Genomic DNA, 22,310 nt, shown 5'->3' with positions numbered 1-22,310 from the left:
ATGAACAGGAAGTGGGAACAGCACACTCTCCTGACAGCCAGGGCTGAGGATGGCCCCAGTGGAAAGACCAGCATGCTACAGGGCTAAAGGGGGCTAGGATCTTACCTCCCACAGAAGTCCCTGCGCACAGCCACAAGATTAAGGTACAGGTCAGGCCGGCTCTGAAGCCAGCTGCTGACAAGCTCCGGGTGCCTTGGGTCCACTTCTAAGAAGATACTACTACATGGGGGAGAAATGGGTGGGCTCAGCAGGACAGGTCTGGCGCCTGCCCTTCTGGGCTGCTTGGGCTGGCGAGGTGAGGGTCCTGTGCTGACCTCTGCCAGGGCCTGCCCAGTACACATTAGGAGCAGAGGAGCCTGCTGGGGACAGACCTAGGAGACCCATCCCATTCATACCCAGAGTCTTTCAGGAGCCGGGGTGCCAAGGCCAGAATGTGGGTAATGATGTCCATGCCCTCCTCCCCACCATCCAGGGCCGCGGGGTCTTCATAGCTGAAAGGCAAAGCAGTGGGAGGTGACAGCCTGAGAAAGGGGTATCTGAAATGCATGGAGGGCATGGGCAAGGCCTCCATGAATGGGGCCCTGTGGAACTTACACTCTGGGCTGAAGGGCAAATCTGAGGACCCAGAGAAGGAGGGCCCCAAATGGGTGGCAGCTCCTCTTCTCTTCCTCCCATGGGCAGCACCCTACCAGGCAGCGCCAGGCATGCTTGCTGAATCCCACTGGCTGATGGCCTCTCTTGATGCACTGACTCATGTCAGGGCATGAGTGTCTCCCCACAGGCTGCTCCTCTTCTTGGTCTGGGAGATCTGGGGCTAGCCCTGACCACTCCTGAGAGCCCAGAAAGGGAGAGCCAACACCCCAGCCCCATCCAACATGACTGCTGCCCCATCCAGGACTCCTGGGCTGCCCCTGGTTCTCAGCCCCTGTGTAAGAGCAGGATGGCCTGGCACAAAGCTAGCCTGGGGCCAGCTTTTAGTCCCGGCTTTCCCACTGAGCCCCCATGCGACCACAGACAAGACACCTTCCCTCTCTGGGCCTCAGTATTCTATAAAATGATGCGCCCATCTACTGAGCACCCTGTATGAGCCCTCCACTGTGTTTGATGCTTTCAAGTCGTCACTGAGTCCTCCCGTGGCCCTGCAGAGCACTACCTCTCTTTTTCTAGAGGCAGGAAACAGGTCCAGAGAGGTTCGGTGGCTGTCCAGTAGTTTTAGTAGGAAGTAAGGAAGTAGGAAGGTAGAAGCTGAATCTAGGTAGGACTGTGGGCTCTCGAGTGCGTCAACTTAACACCATTGCCCATTTCAGCACCAACTCCCCTGTCCCTCCAGATGGTGTGGTCCTCGAGGGCAGACTAATCCCATCAGGCCTTTTCAGGCCTGGCCTCCCTGGCCCACCCTGCTTAGCACCTGCGGATCTCAGGGGCCAGCTGCTCCATGTCCTGGTGGAAGACGTAGGGAGGGTTGCTGACAATCAGGTCCATGGGGCCCCAGGGCAGGTGTGTCCAGCTCCTTTCTGTCGTCAAAGAAGAGGACACACAGTAGGGACTAACCCATTGGGAGGTAAAGGATGATAGCTCCACCTGCCACCATGTCCCTCTCACCATGCCACACCTTGGGCCTGCCTCTGGATCTGATAAGCCAGACCTGCAAATTAGTGCCCAGGGTCCCCAGCTGGCAGCCTGGTGGGGAATGTGCATGCTTTAACATGGCAGCCCCTCATTTCAAGGCATAGAGTGTCCTTGCCAAAAATCCTCCTTATTATGCAAGACTCTGTTCAAGTGCCACTTCCAGGGCGTCCTCCCTGATTGCCTAGGCAGAAAAGAGCCTTTCTCTTCTGTAGCTCCACTAGCCTTATAGCCAACATGGACTGAGAGTACATGGAGGGTAGGCCTGGCCTCATCAGCCAATTCCTGATGGCTCTGACTACTGGTTTCACCCTGTGCCAGGTGCTACACCAAGTATATCACATTCCATGGAGGGGGCACTGAGGCTCAAGGATCCCACGGGTAAGGCAATGGAGCCAGAACTGGAGTTGGAGGCCTGGAGACACTGTAAAGGCTATAGCTGAGCTGTGCAGTGCCTGGACCACTTCCCCTGCCAGGCAGGGGGAAAGGGGCACTCAAGTATTTTGGTCCTGAAGGCATTATTTTAAGCTTTTGCTTATCTGTTGCCAACAAGCAAGCCCTTAACTCATTGGTTGTGAGGAATTCGGAAGTTCTCTGTGGCTGGTCCCTTATGGGTCAGGTCAGCCTAGGAGGCAAAAGCACCTTGTCTGTCCTCAGCCAAGGCTTCGTTTGAGCTGCCACAAACGTGCACACACACACGTGTATGTGTGTGTGTTGTGTGTGGCTGTGTGGCTGTTGGGGGAGCTCTCCCTCCATCTCCACGGAGTGCCTCATCCACCCAGCAGCACCTGCATCTAGTCTCCCTCTCTCAAGGAACATGCAGGGGAGGGTACCTGAGGTCATGTCGAGGTGGATGATCCAAATCCTGTCCTGCAACCGAAGCCTACACAGACAGGGAGAAAGGGGTAGGCACGGGGGCAGACCCCTACCCTTCACTACAAGAATGAGGTCTTATAGTCAACCCTTCTTGGACTGGCAAGATACTCACTGCCCACTACCCATTCAGAACCCCATGGGACCCATGCCAGGCTACCCCACTGCTTCCTCCTTCTTGGGAGTAGAAATCAGACATTGGTGAGTTTGAAACCTGAAAAGGAGTCAAGATTAGGCCCCAAAGTGCAACTCCCCCACCTACCTCTGAGCATTCTCATGGGTCAGAGAGATAGCAGCTTCCCGCTTATCCACAGCAATGACTCGGCTCTGTCCCAAGAACAAACAGAGGATATGTGGAAGGCAATGCTGAGAGATGCTGGAAGATACTGGGCCTGGGGGACCCTCCTCCAACCCCCCACCAGAAGAGAAGGGAAATACCCAACAGCCTTTTCTTCTTGGCCAAAGTCTAGCCAGATAGATGTGGTAGGCGTTAGAGTCTGTGAACCACAGTGGGCTAGGGGCAGCCCTGTCCTCCCTCATCCAGCTGCTTCCCCTCAAGCGCTCCTAGCAGAGGGATGTGGGGGAAGCACTAATGGGAGGGACAGTGAGTGTCAGTCACAGTCTATCCAGAGTGGGTGGAGGGGCTCACCTGGGGGAGCTGGCTCAGCAGGCTGAGGGAGATGGCTCCTGATCCGCAGCCCACCTCCAGAATGAGGGGGCTGCCTGGGGATCCCACAGCATGGGACCTCTGGGCCACCTCTTCCAGCACCCACTCAACCAGTTCCTGTGAAGCAGAGGGATCTGGATCAGAGTCGGTGCCAACGTGGCTCCTGGGGGTCTTGGTACAGAGGCCTAAGCAGTTACCCTTGTGAACGTAGGAAGGGGAGGTAGCCAAAGCCAGACTGACCTTCATGTCAGCTGGGGCATGGCCAAGTCACCCTGCCCCTCCAGGCCTCAGCTTCCCCATCTGTACATCTGAGCCCAGTTGAGGATAGCCCACCTCGTGGGGATGTGGTGGGGATTAAATGCACTAATCCACACCTGTTTCATGTTAAGTGTTCAATCAACCCCAGCTAAGCCCTTTACAGACATCCTCCCATTCTGTGCTTACAGAAATGCTAAGAACTGGCTGGGCACGGTGGCTCATGCCTGTAATCCCAACACTTTGTGAGGCTAAGGTGGACAGATCACTTGAGTTTGGAGTTTGAGACCAGCCTGGCCAACATGGTGAAACCCCGTCTCTGCTAAAGGTGTGAAAATTTGCCAGGCATGGGCATGGTGGCGGATGTCTCTAGTCCCAGCTACTCAGAAGGCTGAGGTGAGAGGGAGAATTGCTTGAGCCCGGGAGGTAGAGGTTGCAGTGGATCAGGATCGCGCCACTGCACTCCAGCCTGGGAGACAGAGCAACACTCCATCTCAAAAGAAAAAAGCTAAGAACCATACCTGATAGTTCCTGTCCACTCCCTCTGGCCTGACCCTGCTCCCAGAGTTTTTCCTGTATTAATCTGTTAAATCCTCACAAGTGTCCCATGAGGAAACTGAGGCCTGGGGTCAAGGCCCCACCTGAGCCTGGCCTGTGGTTTCATGGTGGCCAAGAATCAGGAGCTGGTGTGTCCCCAGCCTCCTCACAGAGCTGGGCTTGAGAGGCCCCCAGGGAGGCTCCTAGGCCAAAGGGACAGGGAATTCCCTCTTTTGGAGGAGATGGGCCATGGGGGGACATGGTCCTGACTAAGGACCTGAGGGCTGTGGCATACACAGGCATAGGTCAACAGGCATGGGTGCAGAGGGAGGTGCCTGACTGCACTGTACCTGCCCTGGCAGCAGGAGGACATTTTCAGACACTGTCACTTTGGAAACAAGAGGGTTTCAAGCCTTGCCTACCCAGCCACTGCCTGCAAGGACTATGCCTGTAAACCAACATAGGGTAGGGGTAAAGGGTGGAAGGCTCCTGCCGTCCAATGGCCAAAATTTTTCTAACCAGCAGTGGAGTGGGACACCTGAGTAGCCAGGCATGAGACAAGGAAAGGGCAGTGTAGCTCCTTCTCAAAGGCATCCCTTTGGATGTGGGCAGAGAAGCCCCCCAGAGGGTCAGGACTCCTGGGACCCCAGGTCTCAGGAAAGACTGGCTCAGGGAGCTGGGGATGGTGGGCAGCAAGTGGGTGCTTCCCTGATCTGAAAAGAGGACTACCTATTCCAGAAAGCCTTCCTCAAGCCTGGGCCAGGCTCTACCACGGCTTTCTCCACCCTGAGCCTAAGGTCTAGCCTAAGGATGGGGTGTGCCTCTCCCACCAGACGCCATAATAGGAAGACCTGAGGTCTGACTCATCGCAGTGTGTCCCACACTGGCAGGGCTTGGCCCACAGACAAACCTCTTGGCTACTTTCTTTTTTTCTTTTCTTTTCTTTTTTTTTTTGAGACAGAGTTTCGCTCTGTTGCCCAGGCTGGAGTACAATGGCGCGATCTTGGCTCACCGCAACCTCCGCCTCCCAAGTTCAAGCGATTCGCCTGTCTCAGCCTTCCCAAGTAGCTGGGATTACAGGCATGCACCATTGTGCCTGGCTAATTTTGTATTTTTAGTAGAGACAGGGTTTCTCCACGTTGGTCAGGCTGGTCTCGAACTCCCGACCTCAGGTGATCTACCCGCCTCAGCCTCCCAAAGTGCTGGGATTACAGGTGTAAGCCACAGCGCCTGGCCCTCTTGGCTACTTTCTAAGTGATGGGCAAGCTCTCTGTGGCACCACCCTCTGAGTCTCACACCCCCAGGTCTCCCCCACACCCCAATGCCATCAGCCAGGCCCAATGGAGCAGAGGGCTCCAGATCACTCACACCCATTTTCCACATAAGTTCCCCAGTGCTGGGTTCCAAAAAGCATCTCACCCTTCCAGGCCCCCAAACCCAGCAACAATGTTCACCCACCCTGAGGGTGGCAAGTCCAAAGCAGGCAGAACTTGGCCAGCAGGTCCAACCCTCCATGTTCCAAGCCTCTTCTGCACCTAACAAATGATTGCCTGTGGGTGAGGGGGCCCAGTTCCAGCAGGAGAGAGTGTGTATTCACTAGCTCTCACCAGCCCTGTGCCAGGCACTACTGGAGACCACTAAGGTACTTGTGGCAAGCTTAGCCTGCAAGGTTGGGCCAGGTACAGAGTGAGCAGTATAGGGCTGTGGCTGAGAGCCTGTGGTCTCAGTGGTGAGGCCACAAGCTGAGAGGTTGGTAGGGTGACCAGTTGTTGTCAGGTGTGTAAGCCTCTCTTGGTTTCCTGGTCATAGACAGACCTACTCTGGCTGGAGAATGACCCCTCAGCCAGCCACACTGGCCAGCCACCTCACAGAGATACTCAAAGACCTCAAAGACACACACCACGTATGTGGATGGCCACCTTGGGGAGGGTAAGAAGCTAAGAAACTGAGCCCCTGCCACCACTAGTGGCCTCTTGTTTGCCATAACACTCCAGAGCACCGGAAACTCATCTTGGTTGTAGAGCCACCTGGGGCAGGGGTAGATAACAGCCCAAGGAGTCCAGAAACTTTCTCTTCTCCTCCTAGTGAAGAGCCTCCCTCAGCCTAACGCTGGTGGCTCTTTCGGCAAGACTAAAAGCCATGCTGGTCACAGGCTCAGGGCACCCCCTCCAGGTGAATATGGTAAGAATCCAAGAACAGGGTGGGGCACAGACGCATGCGGGAAAGAGGTGAGGGGCAGGCAGTTGTTGGCTCTGCCTAGAACTGCTGCCCCAACATGGACTCCATACCCCATCAAGAGGCTGGCCCAAGGCCTGGGCAGAACCTAAGTGCCCATGAGTACCCTCTATTAGGATGGCATCCCTGGTGGGGCAGACCCAGGGAGGTGGCATTGCCTCCTTCAAGCCAATCACAGACAAAACACTGAGCCTCCCACAACCTGTACAGCCTCACAGCAGGCTGGGTGAGAATGGTTCACACCCCCAGCCCTGAGTTTCCTACTGTATTCACTGCCAGGCCAGGGGCTGAACCACCTTCTCACCCTTAGGGAAAATGCAACTCACTGGGCACATGCCTCCTGCAAGTTTGCACTTCAGACTCCCCTTTCATCAGAAACCATCCCCTGCACCCATTCTCACTACTCCCTGCCACAGGCCACGTCCTCTTGAGTTCTTGGTAAGGCATCCCCCGATGTGGCTTTACATTGGGGTGAACCTGGTGAGTTCTCAGAAATGTCTGCACAGCAAGATGAGCACCTGGCCTCCCAATCGCAGCATCTCCCCTCACCCCACCCCTTGCAGTAGAGCTGCTCTCTTGGCCCAGACCCATCCAAGAATCAGGGGGCCACATGGGAGCCAAAGTCCACACTTGATACTCAGAACCCTGGCACATATGGCTGGTGCCAGGTCAGCTCTGAAGGAACTCAAAAGTCACCATGCCCTGACCCTGGGAAGCCGGAGACAGCAAATGATCTCTTCGCCAGAGATCACGTGTTTTCAGGAGCCACAGGTAAGCCTCCCAAAGTCTGCAGGTGGCAGGCCACACCCTGCTCTGGGTCTCCATACTGTGTCCTAGGTCATGCCAATCCCAGATGGGGCAGCCCCATGTGAGGGATGGGGCTCTGAGCTGGGAGTCAGGAAGTCCACGTGCTGCCCCCATGCTCCCTTCCTTGACAGCCCTGTGACTTCAGCAAGGCCTCAGATTCCCTACTGTCCCTGCCCTGACACTGGGCAGTGAAGCAAGGACCTGGCCTCCCAACCACATGATATGGAGAGGAGAGGGGTCAGAGAGTTTCTTGGCTAGGGGACAGAAGCTGAGAAAGTGAAAGAAGGGTTTGGGGCCCCCTGGCCACAGCAGGGGAATGGGAACTAACCTTTCCCAGAAATGTTTGTGTGCCTAGGTCTTTCTAGAAACACTCCTTCTCAGAACCTGGCGCCCTCTGGCTTGCCCACCAGCTCTCACCCAGCTCTACTCCCTGGTCTGCGCCCTCTGGCTCCCAGCTCTGTCATCTACAAGGTCAGAGGGGAGTCCAAGAAGGGCCATATAAAGCGTCTCTTCCAGGACCAGGGTGCCTTACCAAGGGATAACACACTTGCGCCACACATCCCTAGTCCTAGTAATTTGAGGGACAACACAGGTGATTACCAGACCAGTCAGTAGACCTAAGAGGGCCACCAGATTCTCTGGGCTGGAGGGCTAACCCTCTCATCATCTGGGCCCAGAGATGGCAGGAGGGCAGTGACCTGCCCAAGGTTGCACAGCTGATACCAGGTCTCCAGGTGTCCGGCTGGAGCCCTCTCCACTTCCTCCATGCCTCCTGAGAAGCTGCTGGAAGACATTTGTTCCCTGTGGGTTGGGTGAGCCATGGGATGGCTCCCAGAGAAATGGCAGAACAGGCTAAGTACTTGGGCAGCACTATTTGAGGCACTCTGGGCCATTGCCAGACCTAGAGGCTGGGTTGATAGCTTGGAACATAACAGTCAAGGGGACCAACAGGAATCCTCTGTCCTCTGGGCTCTGCCAACACAGTCAGAGAGGAAATACATGTCTAGAAAGGCACTGTCCCTGAAGTCATGGGGCCCCAGTGCCCCCTGGAGGAAGCCTGGGGTAAGACTGGTGCCCTGAACTCCACCATCATCCTGATCCTGCCTTGCCCTGGTGGCACACCTACCTCTGTTTCTGGCCGAGGAATAAACACTGGGGGCACCATCCTTAGGCTGAGCCCCTGGAAGTCCCACTCTCCAAGGATGTACTGCACCGGCATCCTGCAGAGGGGGCAGCTGGGTGGTCATCAGGGACAGAGCTAGGACCAACAGGACCATGCCTGGGTTGAGATACCACTTGTGGCCAAAGGTATCAGGCAAGACCATGTCTCCAGGGCCTTGGGACTCCTGAGGCAAAACCCTCCCTCCCTCCCTTCTTCCTATTCAGTACCCCGGCCCCACTCTTGCCACTCCTGCACCCCAACACCTCCCTAGTCCTTGGACATTCTCCTCCTCCCTGAACTTGGTGGGGATAGGGGAGGCTGGACTGCTGCTCCCTGAACACATCCTTCAGGTCTGATCCATGGGTGCTCACCTCTGCAATCGACGGCTACTCAGCTCCCGGATACACTGTAGTTGCTGAGAGGTCAAGGGCTGGGTCCAAAGTGCCGGCCTCAGGCTCTGAAACTGTCCCCACAGAGAATATAAGTGGCTGGCTCACTGGGCCCAAGGCCCCCAACCCAGGTGTCTTATGTGGATAATGCCTGCCCAGCACTGGTCTGGAGGCCCAACCCTCTCATCATCTGGGCCCAGAGGGGGCAGCATCCTGCCTAAGGTTACACAGCTAACACCAGGCTTCCAGGTGTCTATCCCAGAACACTTAGGCAGAGATATATTCATTCATCCAACAAACTGTTACAGTGTGTGCCAGGCGCTAAGACGTTCCTTCAGAAAAATCCCATCAGTCTCAGCTAAGCACTCTTAGTGAACAGAAAACCTGGATATCCCTTCCCCAAGTCCTCCCTCCTCCCTCTTCCTGTCCTCTTGACAACACTAAACTTAACTGTTTTGGCTCCAAGGACATGAGCCACGATGTACTCACTGGATTCCCGGGCCTCAGGGATACCCCTCTTCTCAAAGACCCCAGTCCAGTGGCTGACCAGTTCTATGGCACTGGATAACCCAGCCAGAGGTGGTTGGGGTTGCCATGAGCTGAAGGCCCAGCCCCGGGTACTTCCCCTCCTCCCTGGGCCAGACAGGAGGGCCCACAGCATTCGGCCCCAAAGCTCCATGTCTCAGGGAAAGGTTCTCCAGAGTGCTTCCAGGTTCCCAAGTCTGCTTTATGATGTCAGCTGCTGAGGTGAGTGCTGAGAGTGGCCCCTGGACCCAGCTGGGTGGAGATGGAGAGGTCACAAGCTCTGGTGCCCCAAAATGGCTCTGGTCCTCAGATATAGTTGGTTGCCACCCTGGGAGTGAGAGGAACCAGGAAAGCAGGTGAGCCTTGTATGACACCCCCCCTTCTACCAATACATTGCCTGAGAATAGTTGTGCTCTTGCTCTGACACCCCCTTGACTCCATTTAGAGCCTTACCCACCTATTTGATCATTCTTGTCTTGGCCACTTACGTTTTCTTCACATTTTTAGCTGGAGTGGGCTGAGCCCATAGCTCAGTCTCTGCTAATAAACGGGTTGGTGGTAGGTTAGGGCACATATGTGGGGACAGGACAGATCTGTGTCTAACCTAGCGTGTGTGATCTTGAGCAAGTCATTATTTCTGATTTTCACTTTCTTAATCCATAAGATGGGGGAAAATCACACCAAACCCATGGCAAGCAATGCATTAGTCTATGAATATCCAAGGCCTGGGAGGCAGCTCAACACACAGCAGGGACCAGATGTTACATGATCTTAACTGATGTTACAAGAGGCAGATGATTGCCTTTAATTGGGAGCTTTGAATCTGACATTGTGTGTGTACTGTCATGGATGTACATGCTGAAAATTTCCTCCTAATTTAACCTATAATCCGGGACATCAGCGTAAACCACCAACTAAAAAATTTACAATTGTATATTTAAAGAGGTCACAAGCAAGTTTAACTGAAGGTTTAAAATCAGCGGTCCCCTTTGCTTCCAGATAAAAGTCCAAACTAGCGTTTATTAAGCACCTGCTAAGTGCCACATCTTCAGATACAAGTAGGGTCAGAGAAGGGAAGCGACTTGCCCAGCGTCACTCAGGTAGAAACTGTCCCAGGCAAGCTGGGCACGGTGGCTCACGCCTGTAATCCCAGCACTCTGGGAGGCCGAGGTGGGCGGATCACGAGGTCAGGAGTTCGAGACCAGCCTGGCCAGCATGGTGAAACCCTGTCTCTACTAAAAATACAAAAAATTGGCCGGGCATACTGACGCGCACCTGTAGTCCCAGCTACTTGGGAGGCTGAGGCAGGAGAACTGCTTGAACCCAGTTCAAGCAGGCGGAAGTTGCAGCGAGCCGCGGTCATGCCACTGCACTCCAGCCTGGGTGCCAGAGAGAGACTCCGTCTCAAAAAAAAGAAAAAAAAGACTGTCCCAGGCAAGACACGAACCCGAGTCCACCAGACTCCAGAAGCGGCTCTTGCACCAGTGCGCCGTCCCAGGAGCCAAGGCCCGAAGTCAGAAGTGTAAACTCCCTCACAGCTACGCACCGCATTGTTAACGACCCAGATGAGGCCCCCTCTCTCCAACCCTGTTTCCCCATCTGCACTATGGAGAATGGTACCGGCCAGGTCTCCAGGCGGTTGCAGTCGAAACACCCCGTTCCGATCCCCACCTCCCATGCATACCTGCCTGAAAGGCTGCCCCACCCACCCACCAGCCGGAGAAGCTGCCCCGAACTGGACGCCCGGACGTGCGTGGCCCGTCGCGCGCTCCCTCGGACGCCCCGCTTCCGGGGTCGGCGCCTTTAAGAAAAGGCTCGGGCGGACGCCGTAGCCCAGCTTCAGTGTTCCTATCGCTGGTGGGTTCCTCCCAGGAGACCCCTGCGGATGGGTGGGGAGGCTGTGAATTCCACTCCCTCTACGCTCGCAGGCCTGCATACAGGAAAGTGCGGGGATGTGTGTGGGGTTGACCCTTGGGGGCCCGGACCTGCCGGTCTTCCTTAAAATCACAGCAGGGATTTGGCTCCAGCCCAAGGGGATTGCTCCGAGCTGGCGTTTAGGAACCAGGCCGGGAGGTGTGTGGGCGGAGCCCAGTAGCCTGCCGGAAAGGGGGCGTGTCACCAGAGGGCCCGGGTGTTCCGGCGGGGACCAGATGTCCGGGGGCGTGGTCTATCTTAGCCTGGGGGCCGGGTGGAGCTGTGCATGGGCGGGTTCCAGTGTTGAAGGCTGGTCCAACTTTGGGGTCCAGTCCCAGTGTCGTGACCCTACCGAGGTCAGTGGCCCGAGCCCACCAGGGGGTCGGCCGACTGGCGGCCAGACCCCAGGGGCCGCTCTTTTACCGATTCGAATCTTGACTCTATTGGCAACTCCTCCAGGTGTTGGGACCTCTGGACCTCAGTTGCGCCTTCTATAAAATACTCGGCAGCGTCTCGCAAAGTGTGTCTTGTCAACATCTCCCCACCAGAAAGTACTGTTAACTAGAACACTGTTAACTACTTTTTTTTTCTTTTTTTCTTTTTTTTTTTTTTTTTTTTTGAGACGGAGTTTTGCTCTTGTTGCGCAGGCTGAAGTACAATGGCGCGATCTCTGCTCACTGCAACCTCGGCCTCCGGGTTCAAGCCATTCTCCTGCCTCAGCCTCCCAAGTAGCTGGGATTACAGGCGTGAGCCAACACGACCGGCTAATTCTGTATTTTTAATAGAGACAGGGTTTCACCATGTTGGTCAGGCTGGTCTCGAACTCCTGACTTCAGGTGATCCATCGCCTCGGCCTCTCAAAGTGCTGGGATTACAGGAGTGAGCCACCACGCCCGGCCTTAAACTGCTATTAAACATGCTGTTTCCCTGCCTCCTTCCCAGACCGGGAGACACAGGGGCGTTTGCATTTGTACCAGGCTACCCGGTGACTCCCATAAACTACTTTGAAAACCGGCGGATCAGGAGTATCTGAGGGCTCCTTCCCTGAGCTGATCATGCCGTGGATGGAAGCTATTGTGAGGGTATATGTAGACTTGCCTGGGTCGGGGTGCCCAATAATAAATCCACCCCACTCTCAACTTCTGTAGACGAAGATTCCCCATCTTCGTCTAGAACCCTCACACCAGAGGACCCGTCTGAGTAGAAAGCCAAGGTTCAGGAAGGGAAAAGCAGTTTCTTCAAGGTCACAAAGTCAGCCAGAGTTCAGTGCAGGCCCAAGGACTCCCAGTCCAGTGCTCTCCCCAAGTCTCCTCTGTACATCCATCCGCGTTTTGGGGGCTTGAGTCTGTCCTGGCACGGGTAGCTGGCAGGGGTCCCGAGTTCTGGCCCGGAAGGGCCTGGCCACCCACTGTCCTCCGCCCAACTTCGGCGCAGGCCACGGGGTGAGGGTAGTCTCTAAAAACTGCGACCAGGTTCTAGGCTCCCTCTGGGGGTGGAGCCAGACCCGAGCGACAAGCGAACGGTCCAATTCTGGGCGGGCTCTAGGCCCGACAGCCAATCGGAGGCCGGGGGCGCGGAGCGTGCAGGGAGGCAAGGCGCTGTAGCTTCGGGGATCCCCCGAGGCTGCTCGGCCCGGCCCCACCTCCGCCGTGGGTCCCGGCCCTACCCACCCTAGCTCAGGCCGGCAGAGCCAGCGCTCGCGGATGCGGCTGGTGCGCAGTAGCGGGCCTGGCCAGCGGCTCGGGGCTTGCAGGGAGGGCGGATCTCGGGTCGGACCCGCAGCCCCAGACGCCGGGCTTGGGGGTTCCCCCCGCCCCGGCCTCCTGCCAGTCACTACCACCCCTAGCCTCTCCAACTGAGCTCGGCGCCGGGAGAGGATTAAGTAAGTGCTGAGGTCACTGCTCCTGTGCAAGAAGGGAGGCATCACAGGGTCGCGGAGGCGGGCATGGGGATTGGGGCAGGGAGGACTGAGAGACCTGGTGGAGAACAGCATGCGGGTTCTCGAAGGTCGCGGTGCCGACCCCTTTTACCCCGGTTTCCTTCCCTTCCCCTTTGGACCCTGAGGCAGGCCTGGAAAGTGGTCAGTAGGGCCTCTTCTCTCCTTTGGGAGGCGATGTTAACAGAGCCCCAGGGCACGAGTTAAGGGTTTGGCCCAAGGTCACGCCCGGGATCAGTTGCAAAGCCAAGAAAAGAACCCGGGACTTCCTATGTGCCCAGATGTGCCCAGCCTAGCTGGAGGGAGAAGGCAAAGAGGGATGAGCCTTTCTACCCCATAACCCTCTGCCAGCCTTGCCCCTTCCTCAGGGACCATCAGAGGTGTTTACACATCTCACACACGCCCATGCATCTGCACAGGGAGGCAACCCCACTAATGCCCATGAACCAGCACAGGGGGATGTATGCACCCACGAGCTAGGTATCCCTCCTCTCCCTAGGCCGTCCCATCTGCAGCTTGGCTGGCACCTCTTCCCACCCCACCTTAACCAGGGCCCTCTGCACTGGGCAAATCTCTCACCCTCTGCTTCCAGGGGAGGAGGGTAAAGGAAGAGAAGGCACCCACACTGGGAGCTCCATTCCTGCCTCGCCTTTCTCCTTGACCCTAGCAGCCCCTCTATTGTTGGTGGGTGGGGAGGGCAGTCCAATGTCCCCGAGAGCCTGCGGAGAAGCCCCGCCAGAGAACCAGAGCCTCTCTCTCCTTCTTGTCTTCTGGTCTTTCCACATCAGCCTCCACCCACACTCCAAGCATAGTCTGGACCATACAGTGGACTGGGTCCAGGGGCTCCCTTGGCTCCCCTTTGTGACTGGGTTGGCCATGGGGAGAAAATCTAACATGTAGTGGATGCTTACTGTGGATGGGGGTTGTGCTGAGCTAAGTCTTTCTTCGACACCTGTTTGTTCTGCCATTTCTGTAACCCCATGACCCTGTGGGGATGTTCTCAATATCCCCACCTTAGACTCAGGAAAACGGAGACACAGAGAGGTGGAGTGACTTTCTAGGGATCACTAGTTAAGCAGCTGAGCTAGGTTTCAAAGACAGGCCTGTCTGACTCTTGGGCAAGTGTTTCCCTCCAGGAAAGGAAAAAGCTGTGGTATTTTTTCCCCCAAGCAGGATGAGGGATGTGGGAGGCAGGGAATGAGGAGGTGGATATGGGGAGGTGGGGGATATGGGGACGCAGGTTGAGGGGAGTTTTTGATCAGGGGAGGGAGACTTTTTCTTTCAAACATCCCCGCTGCCTTTCATATCTTCCAGGTTTGATCACTATGATCATCTCACCCACAGACAGAGGATGCAGGGCTTCATTTTTGTTCCCAAAAACAGGGGCACCGTAGATACGTAAAGTATGTGTCCTAATGTCTCCTGAACTTACCCTCATTCTTGCCCTCAAACCTTTACCTCCCCAGTGCTTTCAGAACCTAGAGAGACTTCATCTCACTACTGAGCCCCTGTCCTTAGCCTCATGTTTCTTATTCTTTCCTTTCTAGCACCCAGGAAGGCAGGGGGCTCCCTTTATCCAAGGAGGTGGCTGTGCAGGTGGCCACCACAGGTGGCAGGAACCACAGGCTGGGGCACTCCGGAGTCAGGAGTGAGTGGGCAGGTTGACTGGCATCAGGCAGCCTCTCAGCCAGGGCCCTCTCCGCATCAGCATGAACTCCAGGACCGCATCTGCTAGGGGCTGGTTCAGCAGCCGCCCACCCACCTCTGAGTCTGACCTGGAACCTGCCACAGATGGGCCAGCCTCCGAGACCACTACCCTCAGCCCAGAGGCCACCACCTTTAATGACACCAGAATCCCTGATGCAGCTGGTGGCACGGCCGGCGTGGGTACCATGCTTCTGTCCTTTGGGATCATCACGGTGATAGGCCTGGCTGTGGCCTTGGTGAGAGCTGGGGTAGGCTGGGGGAGGATAATCAGTGTTTAGATTTATAGAGAACCTAATCAATCAGAAGACAATCTGGTTGTTGTTATTGTTGTTTTTGAGACAGAGTCTTGCTCTGTCATGCAGGCTGGAGTGCAATGGCTTGATCTCAGCTCACTGCAACCTCCACCTCTGGGGCTTAATCGAGTCTCCTGCCTCAGCCTCCCAAGTAGCTGGGATTACAGGTGTGAGCTGCCACGCCCGGCTAATTTTTGTATTTTTAGTAGAGATGGGGTTTCGCTATGTTAGCCAGGCTGGTCTTGAACTCCTGGCCTCAAGTGATCTGCCCCCGTTGGCCTCCCAAAGTGCTGGGATTACAGACATGAGCCTCTGTGCCCGCCAACAATCTATTAATGAGAGTGCAGTCCTCCTCTCCTGCAGAGATTTGTCCACTGGGGCCCAGAGACCAGAGAGGCTACGCTTCCAACTGGAAACAACAGAAAAGGTTCTTGGGAATACATGGTGTCTTGAGCTGGGTCATGAAGGCCACATAGTAGTCAAGGAGTTCCAAGTGGAGAGTCCTGATGGGCAAAAGTTTGGAGGCAGACAGAGGGTTCTGTGAGCAGCCAGCAGGACAGTTAGGGCAGTGGATGTGGGGTTGCAATAGAAGAAAAGGCTTAAAGGTGGTTGATGTGGACCGTGGGCTGCAGAGTCTGGGTAAGATGATCTGTGCATGGGAGGCTGTTGGCAGTGAACATTCATTTATTCACTTGGCAATTATTTACTGAGTACCTGCCCTGGACCAGGCCTTTGGAACCCAATAGAGGCTGGGAAGACAAGGTCCTGCCCTGTGGTTCTTACAGGGAGTGGGAAACAGATAAAAACCAAGGGTTCCAAGGGAAGCCTGCAGGGACTGACTTGGGGACTCAAGCAGGAAAGCAGGAATGCTTTCCAGACTAGGTGGTTAGGAACAGCTGAGGAGCAAAATTAGAGCTGAGACCTCAAAGTGGAAGCCTGGCCTCCGTGTCATGAGAAGGGGTGGAGGTGGCAGCCATCAGGAAGGAAGGGGGCTGGGGAGAGGGCTGCAGGTATCCTTCAGTAGTGAGTGTGATGCCTCTTGATCTGGTGTCAGTCCCTAAGGATATGGGCTGTCCCCCTAAGATGATACATGGACACTCAGAATGTCACTGAGGGACCACTGGAGATCGTGCAGGCTGAGACTAGGGAGGATGGGGTGCCCCTGAGGTTCCCCAGTATGCCTGGCAATGGTAGGATTCTGCCCACTGCTCCTCGCAGGCTCTGATGGCTGGCCTTGGGCTTAGGAGCATGTTGCTCTGACAAGTAGGGCTGTGGATGGCCCATCATGGCCTGGTTGGAGCTGCTGTTAAACCAGGGTTGCCATATGGGCCCCACAGGCTCCAGATTGCTGCCAGGGAGCAACTGCCAGCCAGCAAGCAGGCCCAGGGTGCAGCACAGGCAGAATGAGGCCAGGGCCTGAGAGGTCTCCTGGGTGGAGGTAAGGCAGGATGCCAGTGTTTTCCCTTGGCACCCATGCAGTGGGTAAGCAGATGGAGGCACCCTTAAGGGCAGAATGGGGCCTAGAAACTGCCCTCGTTACTTTCAGTGAAAGGTTTTGTCCTTGGAACTTGAGAACGCTCTCTTACTCTTTGTTCTAGAGGAACATTCAGAAGGCCTGGGTGGATGCCCCTCTTGCCAAAATCAGAGGTAGGAAGCTCGTAGGACAAAGGCAGCGGAGGGCAGAAGATAGCTCCTGGGGACCGGAGACAGGCCCAGAGGTGCTCACTGAGTGCTGCTTCCTCTCCCCGATGCCAGCCTCAAGCAGGGCCGTGGGTACAAGGAGGAGCAAATCTGCACCAGGCTTTCTGCCTTACCCAGGAAGGAAAAGTGCTTGGTACAGGCAGACCAGGATCAGTGGTGGGGGAGGTTCCTGGAGGAGAGGGGGCTGCACCTGCTGGACAGTGAGGGGTAGGGAAGATTTGGAAAGGAAGGTGTGGGGGTGGCTGTTAGCTGAGGAAGAGGGGAAAAGGCATGGAAATTGCGTAAAGGTTCTGGCCTTTTCTGTAGATCCTTCTGAATCCCAGGGTCTCAGGGGAGGGAGGAGGGCTTGGGGCAAGGGCTGAGAGGTGGGGACCACAGGGGCTGGGGCTGGGGCTGGATCCACTTGCTCAGGGTGGCAGGGGCTAGGCCAGAAGACCCCAGAGTTCCTGTCACAGCCTACCCACAGGAGAGCAAGGGAGCACCCCTACATGCAACCCTGGACAGGAGGGGAGAGTGAGGATTGATACCCTAGTTTCTTTTCAGGTTTTGGGGGTCCTGCAGGAGGAGCTCTGGGCCAGGCTGGAAATCAAACCAGATTCAAGCTGTGAATGGGGCACAAAGAATGTGGGAGGATTTGGGGTAAACCACAGGGCTGTGCTTTCCCCGAGGCAGAGGTAGTCATGCTCCTGGTAGTCAGAAACTGCCAGTTTAGGGAAGAGCAGGATGATGGCAGAAGTCCCTGGATTCCCCGCCCAAGGTGGTCCCCCAAGTCTTACCCACTTCCTCCCTCTCCTCAGGGCATTGTACAGGGTTTCTTACTCTGGCCTAGAGGTCCTAGATGTTTTCTCAGGCTGCCTAGGCCCTCATCTTCAAGGTTGTACAATGGGGGACCGGACCTAGGGGCCTTCTTAGGTTCCTCTTGCATCAGAGTTTTTGGGAGTTGACCTGGGCTGATGCCTAGGGGCTCCAGTCCCCCACCCCTACCTTAGTCCACTGGGGGCCGTCAGCCTCCCATAGGAACTCCGGAGACCACCAGCTCAGGGCCTTGCCTAGAGCCACTGCTCTACACGCTACAGAGTCTGGCCACTGCCTGTCTCTGGTTCTTTTTACATGTTGTAGAGACGGGGTGTCAGTATGTTGCCCAGGCTGGACTTGAACTCCTGGGCTCAAGAGATCCTCCTGCCTCAGCCTCTTGAGTAACTGGGACTACAGGCATGTGCTACCTTACCGGGTCCCTTTACTTTTTGCCTGCATGTGGCTTTGAGCCTGGGAAGAGTTGAGGGGAGGGAATGTGCTGAAGTTTTCCCTTTCTTCTTCAGCCCTGGGGAGCCACAGGCAGGTGCTGAGTGGCTGGAGCTACAGTTAGTATTGGCAGCCCAGCCAATAGGTGGGGCCCACCAGTCCCCAGGCCGGGCCTAACTGTGTGGGCTCCCAGGCTGGAGGGAGCCTCTTGAGTCCCCAGACTCAGTCTGGGCACTGTCTGCAGCTAACAATGTCAAAAGGAGGCATGGGGCCAGTGTGGTGGCTCACGCCTGTAATCCCAGCACTTTGGGAGGCCGAGGCGGGTGGATCACAAGGTCAGGAGTTCAAGACCAGCCTGGCCAACATGGTAAAACCCCATCTCTACTAAAAATACAAAAATTAGCCGGGTGTGGTGGTGCACACCTGTAATCCTAGCTACTCAGGAGGCTTAGGCAGGAGAATCACTTGAACCTTGGAGGCGAAGGTTGCAGTGAGCCGAGATTGTGCCACTGCACTCCAGCCTGGGTGACAGAGCAAGACTCTGTCTCAAAAAAAAAAAAAGAGGCATGAAGGTGAAGGGGGAGTGGTGTATGTGTCATTAGGACGGGGACCCACGGGTCTCTTGTTCATCAGCCTCAGCATGTCCCCATCCAGAAGGGCTGCTGGGTTCCTCAGGGCCTCCTCTCCTTGCCATTTGATGCTGCTCCTTCTCTTGCAGGTTTTGTACATCAGGAAGAAGAAGAGGTAATTCCCCACCCAAACCCAAATCCCACCCAAAACTTGAGGCCATGGGGAGTGCTGGGCTGGGCTCCGAAGGAAGTGGGTGAAAAGCTGATCAGGGAGTCAAGGCCTGTCCTGCCCATTCATGGTTGGGGGTGACCACTTTCCTTTGGGGAGGGTTGAGGGCCCCCCTTGCACAAGGATCTCACACACAGGGCAGGCAGGTGTGAGGATTCTAGATAACTGGGTATAATCCTGGGACTGGGGATGGCAGGGAGGGGGAAGGCTGGGATTACTCCCACCCAACTGCCCAGCCACCCTTGCCCTGCTGCTCTGAGCTGACTGCTACTGGCTCCCCAGTCCCACCTGAGACTCAGACGCTGTGGATTACAGCAAGGCCCTAGCCTAGGTGATCTCTGTGGGGCCCATGGATGACAGCTACTTGGCGTATGGCCTTACCCTGGAGTGGGTAACTGCTGCCTCCCTGGCTACCCATTTAAGGGGTTGAGCTGGTACTATAGGTGCAAAAATGTCTGTCATTTTTTCCCATTTCAAGGGAAACCTTAAGGCCCTAAGCATGGTTGTGTGCTGTGGCTCAGCTAGTCAGGAGGCAGGGCCTGGAGGGCTGCTGGGAGGGGAAGGGCCTGCCCTGTCCCCAGCAGCCTTTGCCCCCATCCCCAGGCTGGAGAAGCTACGCCACCAGCTCATGCCCATGTACAACTTCGACCCCACGGAGGAACAAGATGAGTTGGAGCAGGAGCTGCTGGAGCATGGGCGGGACGCCGCCTCTGTACAGGCTGCTACTTCTGTGCAGGCCATGCAGGGCAAGGTGGGCACTGACCAGGCTCCCCACCCCGCCTGCAGCATCCTCTGTCCTCCACCCTCACCCTCCCTCCTTTCTCATGCAGCTTTCTAGCACCTGCCTTGTGGTCAGATGGCAGGTATTGGGTATACGGCTTTTTCCAGATTTGTTCAGAAAGTGGTCATATTGCTCTGGGGCCACCCACAAACTCACAGCGCAAGGCCAGGCCAAGGCAGTCCTGGGATACAGCCTGGCTCTGCCCCATAGCCTGCTGATCTTGGGAGCCCCACTGGCATCTCTGAGCCTCAGTGTTCTCTTCCACAATTGAAAATCCTAATTCTTGCCCCATGTGCCCCCACGTACTGGTTAGGAAAGTAGGAAAGGACTAATGGGAGAGACTGTTGGCGGCTAGGACCCCAGGTTCCTCTGCTTCCTGAGGGTCCGTGGTCCTGAGTGGGTTGTGGATGGGGTTAGACTCTTGGACAGCGGTACCTCTGAGTAGGCTGGTGGATTCCCAGTGGCTGACAGACCCAGGCATGTGAAGATCTCAGCCAAACTTGCCTCCTGTGTCCAAAGGGATAGGTACCTGTGTGGCCATCCTGTTGTAACCACTGGGCTGCCTGACCACTTGCCACCATTTCCCCAAATCCCCAAGGGCCAGAGCACCATGAGCAGGCCTGGCCTGCCCCTGACTTATCCAGCCTCTTTGCGTCTTCTTGGGCTCAGAAAGAATCCAGGCTGGAAGTCTGAAGACCCTTTGGTTTTGCCACCAGCTCTGCATCACCTGGGTCAAGATATATTGCCCCCTTGGGATATTCAGGAACTCGCACTGAGAACCTTGGTCCACCCAGCCACTGGGACTTCTGGCCACTTGATACTTGTTTCCCATGTTCCTCCTTGTACCAGCCCCTGTGCTAGGGCCTGGGGATACAGAGTCCAGCCCTCTGATCCCCCACTGGGAAAAGGCAGTGCATGCATAATTAAATCAACACAGTAAGTGCCTCCAAGGTGACAGGGCAAGCTGGGGAGGAGTCATCTGAGCCAAGTCATATTTGTAGGCTGAGCTTGCAGGGAGGGCATTCCAGGCAGAAGCCATTGCTAGTGCCAAGCATAAGCAGGCACCAGGAAGTGAGGGTGGAGGTGACCAGGCCAGTGAGTGCATGGCCTTGCCCATGGTCTCTGATGCCCCTGCCTGTCTTCCTGCAGACTACTCTGCCCTCCCAGGGCCCACTGCAGAGACCCAGCCGGCTGGTGTTTACCGATGTGGCCAATGCCATCCATGCGTGAGTGGCCTGGGACAAGCCTGGACTTCTGATAGAGACCCATCACGGTGCCTACAGAGCTCCCCACTCCCTGATTGTCAAGACCTACTCTGAAGATCTTCCCTGCCAAGACACAAGAGGGCTGAGCCAGGTCCTAGCTGTTCTCCAGACCCACCTGCTGACTTTAGACTCTAAGAGAGGGCCCTAGCCAGGCTGGACTTCTGACCACTGACTTCTCCTGACCTGAGGGCCCTGGCACAGAGGGCATCCCTCATGCTGAGAAGGTCAAGAGCCTCTGCTGGCTTCCTCATCCCCTGTCCAGATCCCTCACATCAGGGTCTGCCCCGCTAATGTGGAGGAAATGAGGGAGATACGGAGTGGGAGGGATTGGGGGAGGAAAGGGGAGGTTTCCCTCTGTTAGGGAGAGACCTGTTTTTTGGAATCTGGAGCCTCCTCTGGGGTGGGGAGAGGAAACCACCCAAGTTATAGGGACAGGGTAGGGCAGCATCTGTTATGGGCCCTGAGAAGCCCAGAGATGGAGCTGAAACTGTCCAGTATGCAAGGATGCCAGGAGAAGGGCAATTCACACCCAGGGTCCATCCATACTACGGAGGGTCCAGGAGGTCTCCCAGCCACCCATCCTTGGCAACCAGATGTTACTGGGGCCAAGCTAGGATGGGAGCTGAGGGGGAAGGAAGTAGGGGAATGGAAGTGGAAGGATGCAGCCCCCCCAGACCTGCCGAGAGGCCTCATGCATGTGCATGAGTGTGCCCATGGGCAGACATGTGCCTGTCCCAGCACAGCGGGCAGAATGAGATTGTCCACACTGGCCCCACCCTCCAAGTCGACCTCTACCCCATGGTATGTAGTGGAGCATCAGGGTAGGCTATCTTCTCTGCCTTCAATCTTCAGGGACTGCAGGGAAGAGGGAAGCACGCACAGCACGGTTCCTCTCTCCACTGCATTGTTTCACTGGGCTCACCTGCTTCTGAAAACGGCTCCCTGTCTTGGGCTCTAATGAGGATCTGGGGTTGGGAGAGGCTGTTGGTCTGAGGGCAGTAATCACAGGCTGCAGGCTAGAGGGGGCAGTTATGACTGCCTGAAAGTGGGTGAGGGATTGCACTTCAGAAAAACATCTAAAAAACTTAGTCTATGTTTGAATTCCCCACCTCCATCCCATCTATGGGAAGAGCCGTTCAGTGTTTAGAGAGTGGGGAGATGGGTCCCTGCACTTGGCCTCTCCATAAGCCTTGGAGGGTCAGGGCTGATACCAGGGGTCCTGGCAAGCCATTGGGCAGAGACAGACCACAAGAGCAGGGCATTTTTTTACGCTGGGCATACATATGCACACAAGCATGCACAGAGGCATGTCCCGTGCCCAGCCTCTCCACCGTCACTGTCCGCTGCTGGCTGGAGGGGATGCAGGGGTAGTGTATGCAGACCTTCCACTGGGCAAATGCCATGTGTCAGGAGGGAAAGGCCTAGGAAGCCCCCATGGGGAAGGTTCTGGATTTATTCCCTCCTCTAAATGCTATAAATACGTTAGCACTTGAGTCGACTGGAGGCTGCCAGGAATTCAGGATGCATACAGCTGTAATTTAACCCAGAGCAGCTCCACGTGAGAGCATTAAAGATGTAATGAAGATGTTTACATGGA

General features: G+C 55.9%; 2 protein-coding genes across 52 annotated transcripts in view, besides 2 other annotated features; one reads left to right on the top strand and one right to left on the bottom strand.

Moving 5' to 3' along the window:
• HEMK1 (HemK methyltransferase 1, mitochondrial release factors N(5)-glutamine) overlaps positions 1–11,155 on the bottom strand; it is a 26,987-nt gene extending 15,832 nt beyond the window's left edge. For 8 of the 35 annotated variants that reach the window (XR_007095692.1, XR_940453.3, XR_940454.3 and 5 more), the window contains exons 1-10: positions 10,761–10,813; positions 9,003–9,404; positions 8,534–8,625; positions 8,127–8,220; positions 3,149–3,283; positions 2,762–2,826; positions 2,460–2,509; positions 1,409–1,514; positions 396–491; positions 106–219 (exon numbers count right to left, since the gene is read on the bottom strand). Coding sequence is in view for 31 of the 35 variants with exons in the window: in NM_016173.5 (NP_057257.1) it covers positions 106–219; positions 396–491; positions 1,409–1,514; positions 2,460–2,509; positions 2,762–2,826; positions 3,149–3,283; positions 8,127–8,220; positions 8,534–8,625; positions 9,003–9,230 (980 nt within the window). In the remaining 4 variants the exon portion in view is untranslated. Of the gene's footprint in view, positions 1–105; positions 220–395; positions 492–1,408; positions 1,515–2,459; positions 2,510–2,761; positions 2,827–3,148; positions 3,284–8,126; positions 8,259–8,533; positions 8,626–9,002; positions 9,405–9,533; positions 10,814–11,061 lie in introns of those variants that run through there. The other 27 variants (NM_001377421.1, XM_047448279.1, XM_047448283.1 and 24 more) reach the window with 20 other exon arrangements.
• On the top strand, positions 5,635–22,310 carry C3orf18 (chromosome 3 open reading frame 18). 17 transcript variants are annotated; one of them, XM_011533784.3, is made up of 6 exons: positions 9,308–9,432; positions 14,241–14,329; positions 14,474–14,881; positions 18,588–18,613; positions 19,271–19,418; positions 20,598–22,310. In XM_011533784.3, the coding sequence occupies exons 3-6, from the start codon at positions 14,636–14,638 to the stop codon at positions 20,676–20,678; spliced, it is 501 nt and encodes a 166-aa protein (XP_011532086.1). In that variant the 5' UTR covers positions 9,308–9,432; positions 14,241–14,329; positions 14,474–14,635; the 3' UTR covers positions 20,679–22,310. The 17 variants fall into 17 exon arrangements, with proteins under 17 accessions (XP_011532083.1, XP_011532086.1, NP_001165212.1 ...); XM_011533790.2 differs by lacking the exon at positions 9,308–9,432 and adding an exon at positions 12,588–12,872 and having other exon boundaries at positions 14,474–14,809; NM_016210.5 differs by lacking the exon at positions 9,308–9,432 and adding an exon at positions 12,588–12,872 and having other exon boundaries at positions 14,474–14,869.
• Positions 10,889–11,008: an enhancer, noted in NCBI's record as "active region_19907". NCBI's record gives its function as "activates an Ori minimal core promoter by ATAC-STARR-seq in GM12878 lymphoblastoid cells {active_cell/tissue: GM12878}" and the evidence as "EXISTENCE:reporter gene assay evidence [ECO:0000049][PMID:35858748]".
• Positions 12,447–12,956: a silencer, noted in NCBI's record as "silent region_14398". NCBI's record gives its function as "represses an Ori minimal core promoter by ATAC-STARR-seq in GM12878 lymphoblastoid cells {active_cell/tissue: GM12878}" and the evidence as "EXISTENCE:reporter gene assay evidence [ECO:0000049][PMID:35858748]".

This window comes from Homo sapiens, chromosome 3 (assembly GCF_000001405.40).
Source record: "Homo sapiens chromosome 3, GRCh38.p14 Primary Assembly".
NCBI lineage: Eukaryota > Metazoa > Chordata > Mammalia > Primates > Hominidae > Homo > Homo sapiens.
This window is presented reverse-complemented; position numbering and strand designations above follow the sequence as displayed.